This window comes from Homo sapiens, chromosome 19, assembly GCF_000001405.40.
Source record: "Homo sapiens chromosome 19, GRCh38.p14 Primary Assembly".
NCBI classification, from domain to species: Eukaryota; Metazoa; Chordata; class Mammalia; order Primates; family Hominidae; genus Homo; species Homo sapiens.
In genome coordinates this window covers 1,896,780-1,905,076 of record NC_000019.10, presented here as the reverse complement: position 1 = coordinate 1,905,076, position 8,297 = coordinate 1,896,780, and the positions used below count along the sequence as shown (strand labels likewise).

The window sequence follows — 8,297 nt, the reverse complement described above, 5'->3', positions numbered from 1 at the left end:
GGATGAGGCAGAGGGGGTATATGACACCCGTCCCCTGAGTCCGGGATGGGGCCAGGTTCCAGTTCTGCCTGTTACTGCACTCCGGCGTGGGCCGCCCTCAGGTTTGAGTTTTCTCACCAGTAACGTAGGTGAAGAAGACCTCTTGCCTCTCCTGGGCCAAACAAGCACATTTTTTTTTTTTTTTTTGAGACGTAGCCTCAGTCTGTCACCCAGGCTGGAGTGCAGTGCTAGGCTCACTGCAACCTCCACCTCCTGGGTTCAAGCGATTTCTGGCTAGTTTTTGTACTTTTAGTAGAGAAGGGGTTTCACCAAAACATGCATATTTTATGAGCAATTTGTTACTCCTTCCAGTTGGACAGGTTTAACCAAGTGGTTCTCAACGGGAGGGAATTTGTCATCCCCTCCCCCAACAGCTTGACAGTGCCTGGCTGTAACCAGCTCAGGCTCCGATGCCAGAGTCTTGACAAACCAGTAAGGAGGAAAAAGTGCAGTGAAAGGAAGGTGACTTCCTTTCAGAGTTCGCAGCAGGGAGGCAGCTGGTTTAGGCCTCCAGAAACCCCTTCAAACTTGAGGCTGGGGTGAGGGGCTAAAAAAGGGGAACTGGGAATGGTGGGTGTGCAGGGGAGGTGCTGATTATAAGCTCTGTGTGTTCATGAATTTTGGTGGCTTAAAAGCGCAGGCTGGCCTCATCCTAATAAGGGCCGGGTTGCAGACCACCTTGAGGAAATCTCTGGGATTTTGCAGGTGGGTCTCCGTGCTTGGCCTGTCTCCAGATTAGCTCTAAAACGTTCTTTCTTTTTTCTTTTTTTTCGAGACAGTCTCGCTCTTGTCACCGAGGCTGGAGTGCAGCAGCACGATCTCAGCTCACCGCAACCTCCACCTCCCAGATTCAAGTGATTCTCCTGCCTCAGCCTCCCGAGTAGCTGGGATTACAGGCACACGCCACCACACCTGGCTAATTTTGTATTTTTAATAGAGATGGGGTTTCTCCATGTTGGTCAGGCTGGTCTCAAACTCCTGACTTCAGGTGATCTGCCCGCCTCGGCCTCCCAAAGTGCTGAGATTACAGGCGTGAGCCACCGTGCCCAGCCTGTTCCTGGAACTTTTAGGTAATCACATAATTAGATGCATACAGTTAGGTAAACCTGCAGAGTGTGAGGGAGTTTATGGTGAGAAAGGGGAGGACGTGTTTCAAAGAAAGTGCATTTCAAGGTCGGATGCGGTGGCTCATGCCTGTACTCCCAGCACTTTGAGAGGCCAAGGTGGGTGGATCACCTGAGGTCAGGGGTTCGAGACCAGCCTGGCCAACATGGCGAAACCCCATCTCCACTAAAAATACAAAAATTAGCCAGGCATGGTGGCAGGGGCCTTTAATCCCAGCTGCTGGGAAGGCTGAGGCAGGAGAATCACTTGAACCCGGGAGACGAAGGTTGCGATGAGCTGAGATCGCACCATTGCACTCTGTTGCCTGGGCGACAGAGTGAGACTCCATCTCAAAAAAAAAAAAAAAAAAAAAAAAAAAAAAAAACAGCATTCCAGGAAACTATTTCGCTCTCAGTTGCTTTCTTTTTTCCTTTTCTGAATAAAAACTCAGACTGCTGTGAGTTTCACTTTTTCTTTTTTTAGCTTAAATACACATCTCTCCATCCCTGGATGCCTCATGCAAACTAGCCAAGAGCCCCTGTTTTGCTGATTTGTTTTAAAAAAAAAAAAGACAGCCTTTATTTGGTAAGTCATTAAATCCAAAGCCCAGATTCTCTGCATCTAAAAAAATGAATCTAGGCCAGGCATGGTGGCTCGTGCCTGTAATTCCAGCACTTTGGGAGGCTGACACATGAGGTTTGCCTGAGGCCAGGAGTTTGAGACATGCTGCCATCTCTGCAAAAAAAAAAAAAAAAAGAATTGCTGGGTCCGGAGGGGCACTGAGTAAGTGGGACAGCTGGGACAGCTACTCAGGAGGCCGAGGTGGGAGGATCACTGGAGTCCAGAAGGTCAAGGCTGAAGTGAGCTATGATTGCGCCACTGCGCTCCAGCTGGCTAATTTTTGTATTTTTTAGTACACCATGTTGGCCAGGCTGGTCTCAAACTCCTGACCTCTGGTGATCTACCTGCCTCAGCCTCCCAAAATGCTGGGATAGTGCGAGCCACCATGCCTGGCCTTCTTTCGGGTTTTTGTTTTGCTTTGGGCTTTAAGCTAGTTTCAGTCATGATTTCAGCCTCTACTGATGGGACCCCTTTTTTAATTGACATTGTTCTTTATCCAGAACTTTTCTTTTTCTTTCTTTTTTTTTTTTTTTTTTTTTTGAGAAGGAGTCTCACTCTGTCGCCCAGGCTGGAGTGCAGTGGCGCGATCTCAGCTCACTGCAAGCTCCACCTCCCTGCAAGCTCCACCTCCCGGATTCACGCCATTCTCCTGCCTCAGCCTCCCGAGTAGCTGGGACTACAGGCGCCCACCACCACGCCCCGCAAATTTTTTTGTATTTTTAGTAGAGACGGGGGTTTCACCATGTTCGCCAGGATGGTCTCGATCTGTTGACCTCGTGATCCGCCCGCCTCGGCCTCCCAAAGTGCTGGGATTACAGGCATGAGCCACCGCGCCCGGCCTTTATCCAGAACTTTTCAAAAGTAATGTGGCCCACAGCCGGTGTGCTGGCTCACACCTGTAATCCCAGTGTAATCCCAGGACTTTGGGAGGCCGAGGCGGAGGGATTGCTTGAGTCTAGGAATTTTGAAATTGCCCTGGGCAACACAGCGAGACCTTGTCTCTTTCTTTAAAAAAAAAAAAACAACATAGCTGGGAATGGTGGCGCCTGTAGTCTCAGCTACATGCCGGGAGGCTGCGGCAGAAGGATGGCTTGAGCCCAGGAGGCAGAGGTTGCAGTGAGCTGAGATCACACCAATGCCACTTCACTCCAGCCTGGGTGACAGCCAGACCGTCTCAAAAAACAAACGGAACGTGACCCTCCCGACTCACAGTAATGCGTCAGGGTCCGGCATCGAAATGTTGCAAAATCATGGAGTCGGTTCCCCAATTGTGAGCTTAGTGGCCGCAGAGAATCAGCCAGAAGCCTAAGTCAGACACTGGCGGGCTGGGTGGCCCCAAGTGACAGGCAGTCAAGAAATGACCAGGACCAAGCTCGGGGGCTCACGCCTGTAATCCCAGCACTTTGAGAGTCCAAGGTGGAAGGATCGCTTGAGCCCAGGAGTTTGAGACCAGCCTGGGCAACATAGTGAGACCTTGTCTCTACACAAAAATTTTAAATTACCCAGGTGTGGTGTGTGCCTGTGGTCCCAGCTACTTGGGAGGCTGAGGTGGCAGGATCACTTGAACCCAAGAGGTCAAGACTGCAGTGGGCTTTGATCAGCATTACTGCACTCCAGCCTGGGCAACAGAGGGAGATCCTGTCTTTAAAAAAATAGGCCTGGGCGGGGCACGGTGGCTCACGCCTGTAATCCCAGCACTTTGGGAGGCCAAGGTGGGCGGATCACGAGGTCAGGAGATCGAGACCATCCTGGCTAACATGGTGAAACCCCGTCTCTACTAAAAATAAAAAAGCCAGGCGTGGTGGCGGGCGCCTGAAGTCCCAGCTACTCGAGAGGCTGAGGCAGAAGAATGGCGTGAACCCAGGAGGTGGAGCTTGCAGTGAGCTGAGATTGCGCCACTGCACACCAGCCTGGGTGACAGATGGAGACTGTGTCTAAAAAAAAAAAAGGAAAAAAAAAATAGGCCAGGCATGGTGGCTCACAGCTGTAATCCCAGCGCTTTGGGAGGCCGAGGTGGGTGGATCACAAGGTCAGGAGTCTGAGACCAGCCTGACCAACATGGTGAAACCCCGTCTCTACTAAATATACAAGAATTAGCCGGATGTGGTGGCGCACGCCTGTAATCCCAGCTACTCAGGAGGCTGAGGCAGGAGAATAGCTTGAACCCGGGAGGTGGAGGTTGCGGTGAGCTGAGATCACGCCACTGCACTCCAGCCTGTGTGACAGAGCGAGACTCTAAAAAAATAAATAAAACAAAACAAAACAAAATAAAATAAAAATAAGACTGGGAGTGGTGGCTCACGCCTGTAATCCCAGCACTTTGGGAGGCCGAGGCGGGTGGACCACTTCAGGCCAGGGGTTCTAGTTGTGGGATATAATGGGGTTTCTCTTCAAATAATCTGATCAATCATTTATTCTTTAATTCATAGTACCCCTCCTTTCCCTTCTTTTTCTTTTTCCTTTTTGCCTTTGTTAAATGCCTAGACACGCCTCAATACCAAGCGTTATCAGCATCAGCTTACATTCCTTTCCTTATTTTAAAAAAAGACTAACTTTCTAGCTCATCACAGACACCCCCTTCCCCATTCTCTCCACTTTCTTTTTCTTTCTTTTTTTTTTTTGAGACAGAGTCTCGCTCTGTTGCCCAGGCTGGAGTGCAGTGGCACGATTTCCGCTCACTGCAAGCTCCGCCTCCCGGATTCACGCCATTCTCCTGCCTCAGCCTCCCGAGTAGCTGGGACTACAGGCGCCCGCCACCACGCCCGGCTAATTTTTTGTATTTTTAGTAGAGACGGGGTTTCTCTGTGTTAGCCAGGATGGTCTCGATCTCCTGACCTCGTGATCCGCCCTCCTCGGTCTCCCAAAGTGCTGGGATTACAGGCGCGAGCCACCGCGCCCGGCCTCCCCTTTCTTTTACATACCCACCCTATCTAAAAAAAATCAAATGTTTAGCCAACCAAAGTTAGTTTAGATTGTGTGACCCGACCCCAGCCAATAGGAAAAAAGTACAGAGGCCGAGGTGGGTGGATCATGAGGTCAGGAGATTGAGACCATCCTGGCTAACACGCTGAAACCCCATCTCTACTAAAAAAAATAAAAAGATTAGCCGGGCGTGGTGGCGGGCGCCTGTAGTTCCAGCTACTCGGGAGGCTGAGGCAGGAGAATGGCGTGAACCCGGGAGGCGGAGCTTGCACTGAGCGGAGATGGCGCCACTGCACTCCAGCCTGGGTGACAGAGCGAGACTCCGTCGCAGAAAAAAAAAAAAAAAAAGCCAGCACAGTGGCTCACGCCTGTAATGCCAACACTTCGGAAGGCTGAGGCGGGTGGATCACCTGAGGTCAAGAGTTCGAGACCAACATGACTAACATGGTGAAACCCCGTCTCTACTAGAAATACGAAAAATTAGCCAGGTGTGGTGGCGCATGCCTGTAGTCCCAGCTACTCAGGAGGCTGAGGCAGGAGAATCGCTTGAACCCAGGAGGCAGAGGTTGCAGTGAGCCAAGATTGCACCATTGCACTCCAGCCTGGGCAACAAGAGGGAAACTCCGTCTCAAAAACAAAAACAAAAACAAAAAATCAAAGTCCTAAGATTATAGGCATGAGCCACAGGGCCTGGCTAAGAAACAATGTTTTTAATTATGAAAACAAATATTTTAGGCAGGGCGTGGTGGCTCATGTCTGTAATCCCAGCACTTTGGGAGGCCGAGGCAGGCGGATCATGAGATCAGTTTGAGACCAGCCTGGCCAACATGGAAAAACCCTGTCTCTACTAAAAATACAAAATTAGCCGGGCGTGGTGGCGGGCACCTGTAGTCCCAGCTACTCGGGAGGCTGAGGCAGGAGAATCACTTGAACCTGGGAGGCAGAGGATGCAGTGAGCTGAGATTGTGCCACTGTACTCCAGCCTGGGCAACAAGAGCGAAACTCTGTCTCAAAAACAAAAAAGAAATAGTATTAGACAAAGTGTGACGAAAACTGAAAAAAATTAAGAAAGTTAAAAAAACAAAACAAAACAAAACAAAACAGGAATGCGTCCAAAAAAGGAGAGGAGTTCCCCGCAAGACCCTCTGTCTGTTTCCACATGGCTGAGGCCAAAATCAGTATCAACTTCCCTGTCACCACCTTGTTCAGCTTGTTTCTTTGCGTCAGCATCCCATTAACTTTCTGATTTGTTTGTTTGTTTGTTTTGAGACGGACTCTCGCTCTGTCACCCAGGCTGGAGTGCAGTGGCATAATCTTGGCTCAGTGCAACCTCCGCCTCCCAGGTTCAAGCGATTCTCCTGCCTCAGCCTCCTGAGTAGCTGGGACTGCAGGTGCCCGCCACCACGCCCGGCTAATTGTTTTATAGTTTTAGTAGAGATGGGGTTTCACCACATTAGCCAGGATGGTCTTGATCTCCTGACCTAGCGATCCGCCCGCCTCGGCCTCCCAAAGTGCTGGAATTACAGGCGTGAGCCACCACGCCTGGCTATACATATATTTTTTCGAGACGGAGTCTCGCTCTGTCTCCCAGGCTGGAGTGCAGTGGCACGATCTCAGCTCACTGCTACCTGTGCTTCCCGGGTTCAAGCGATTCTCATGCCTCAGCCTCCCAAGTAGCTGGGATTACAGATGCCTGCCACCACGCCTAGCTAACTTTTGTATTTTTAGTATAGACGGGGTTTCACCATGTTAGCCAGGATGGTCTCGGTCTCACCTCATGATCCACCCGCCTGGCCTCCCAAATTGTTGGAATTACAGGCGTGAGCCACAGCGCCCGGCCAAGGATGTCTCATTTATTTCACCTCCACCAGGACAGGACGTTTTGGTGTTTTTTGTTTTGTTTTTGAGATGGAGTCTCACTCTGTCCCCCAGGCTGGAGTGCAGTGACATCTCGGTTCACTGCAACCTTCGCCTCCCGGGTTCAAGCGATTCTTGTGCCTCAGCCTCCTGAGTAGTTGCAATTACAGGTGCCTGCCACCACACCTGGCTAATTTTTGGATTTTTAGTAGAGATGGGAGTTCGCTGTGATGGCCAGGCTGGTCTGGAACTCCTGATCTCAGGTGATCCTCCCGCCTCAGCCACCTAAAGTGCTAGGATTACAGGCATGAGCCACCGTGCCTGGCCTTGGTGTTTTTGTTTTGTTTTTTGTTTTTTTTTTTTTTTTTGAGACAAGATCTGCCTCTGTCACCCAGGCTGGAGTGCAGTTGTGCAGTCATAGCTCACTGTGGCCTTTGCCACCCGGGCTCAAGCGATCCTCCCACCTCAGCCTCCCATGTAGCTGGGACCACAGATGTGTTCCGTCACGCCCAGCTAATTTTTGTTGTGGTTGAAATTTTTGTAGAGTCGAGGTCTTGCTGCCCTGCTAGGGCTGGACTTTCATTCTCTGCGGTATCCCTATTGCCCAGCATGCACGTGGGCAGCCCTTGTTGCTGTTATCCTGGCAAGGCAAGTGGGATCGCCCCCGCCTCTCCTGGGAGCCCTGCACCAGCCTCTCGGACCCTCCCAAAATCAAGCGGACACGGTTGCCACCTACTGACCAAAGGCAGCTGCACCCCGGTCACGGGGCTTCCGGCCGGATCTAAGCACGTGTTTACACCCTTTCCCAGAAGGTCCACACCCACCACACTCGGCTCCGGTGGGCGGGAGACAGTGCTGGTAACAGAGAACAATCACACTCCCTCATCAGCAGTGCGGAAGTTTAAAAGCTCTGTGCTAACACTGGGGTCAAAAATGGAGTGTCACCCGGGTGCGGTGGCTCACGCCTGTAATCCCAGCACTTTGGGAGGCCGAGGCAGGTGGATCACGAGGTCAGGAGATCGAGACCACCCTGGCTAACACGGTGAAACCCCGTCTCTACTAAATATACAAAAAATTAGCCGGGTGTGGTGGTGGGCGCCTGTAATCCAGCTATCCGGGGGGCTGAGGCAGGAGAATGGCGTGAACCCTGAGATCACGCCAATGCATTCCAGCCTGGGTGACAGTGCCAGACTCCGTCTCAAAAAAAAAATTTTTTTTTTTTTTTTGCAGAGACAGAGGTCTCTCTTAGTTGCCCAGGCTGGTCTTTTTTTTTTTTTTTTTTTTTTTTTTTTTTTTTGAGATGGAGTCTCGCTCTGTCGCCTAGGAGTGCAGTGGCATGATCTTGGCTCACTGCAAGCTCCGCCTCCTGCGTTCACGCCATTCTCCTGCCTCAGCTTCCCGACACCACCCCCGGCTATTTTTTTTTTATTTTTTTGAGACAGAGTCTCGCTCTGTGGTCCAGGCTGGAGTGCAGAGGCGTGATCTCAGCTCACTGCAAGCTCCACCTCCCGGGTTCACGCCATTCTCCTGCCTCAGCCTCCCGAGTACCTGGGACTACAGGCGCCCACCACCACGCCCGGCTAATTTTTTGTATTTTTAGTAGAGACGGGGTTTCACCGTATTAGCCAGGATGGTTTTGATCTCCTAACCTCGTGATTCGCCCACCTCGGCCTCCCAAAGTGCTGGGATTACAGGCGTGTGCCACCGCGCCCAGCCCCGGGTTGGTCTTGAACTTGTAAGGCTCAAGTGATCCT

At 51.2% G+C, this 8,297-nt stretch overlaps 6 annotated features.

Annotated features, from left to right (window-relative positions):
- Positions 285-344: an enhancer, noted in NCBI's record as "active region_13634". NCBI's record gives its function as "activates an Ori minimal core promoter by ATAC-STARR-seq in GM12878 lymphoblastoid cells {active_cell/tissue: GM12878}" and the evidence as "EXISTENCE:reporter gene assay evidence [ECO:0000049][PMID:35858748]".
- Positions 625-684: an enhancer, noted in NCBI's record as "active region_13633". NCBI's record gives its function as "activates an Ori minimal core promoter by ATAC-STARR-seq in GM12878 lymphoblastoid cells {active_cell/tissue: GM12878}" and the evidence as "EXISTENCE:reporter gene assay evidence [ECO:0000049][PMID:35858748]".
- Positions 5,949-6,121: a silencer, noted in NCBI's record as "fragment chr19:1898955-1899127 (GRCh37/hg19 assembly coordinates)". NCBI's record gives its function as "represses an EF-1alpha promoter that drives an FKBP-Casp9 reporter gene in an ReSE screen in K562 erythroleukemia cells {active_cell/tissue: K562}" and the evidence as "EXISTENCE:reporter gene assay evidence [ECO:0000049][PMID:32094911]".
- Positions 6,926-7,621: an enhancer, noted in NCBI's record as "H3K27ac-H3K4me1 hESC enhancer chr19:1897455-1898150 (GRCh37/hg19 assembly coordinates)". NCBI's record gives its function as "activates a minimal SCP1, AML or CMV promoter by ChIP-STARR-seq in naive H9 embryonic stem cells {active_cell/tissue: H9 hESC(naive)}" and the evidence as "EXISTENCE:reporter gene assay evidence [ECO:0000049][PMID:30033119]".
- Positions 7,193-7,487: an enhancer, noted in NCBI's record as "tiled region #13932; HepG2 Activating DNase unmatched - State 4:PromP, and K562 Activating DNase unmatched - State 1:Tss". NCBI's record gives its function as "activates a minimal TATA promoter and a strong SV40 promoter by Sharpr-MPRA in HepG2 and K562 cells {active_cell/tissue: HepG2 | K562}" and the evidence as "EXISTENCE:reporter gene assay evidence [ECO:0000049][PMID:27701403]".
- Positions 7,629-7,758: an enhancer, noted in NCBI's record as "active region_13632". NCBI's record gives its function as "activates an Ori minimal core promoter by ATAC-STARR-seq in GM12878 lymphoblastoid cells {active_cell/tissue: GM12878}" and the evidence as "EXISTENCE:reporter gene assay evidence [ECO:0000049][PMID:35858748]".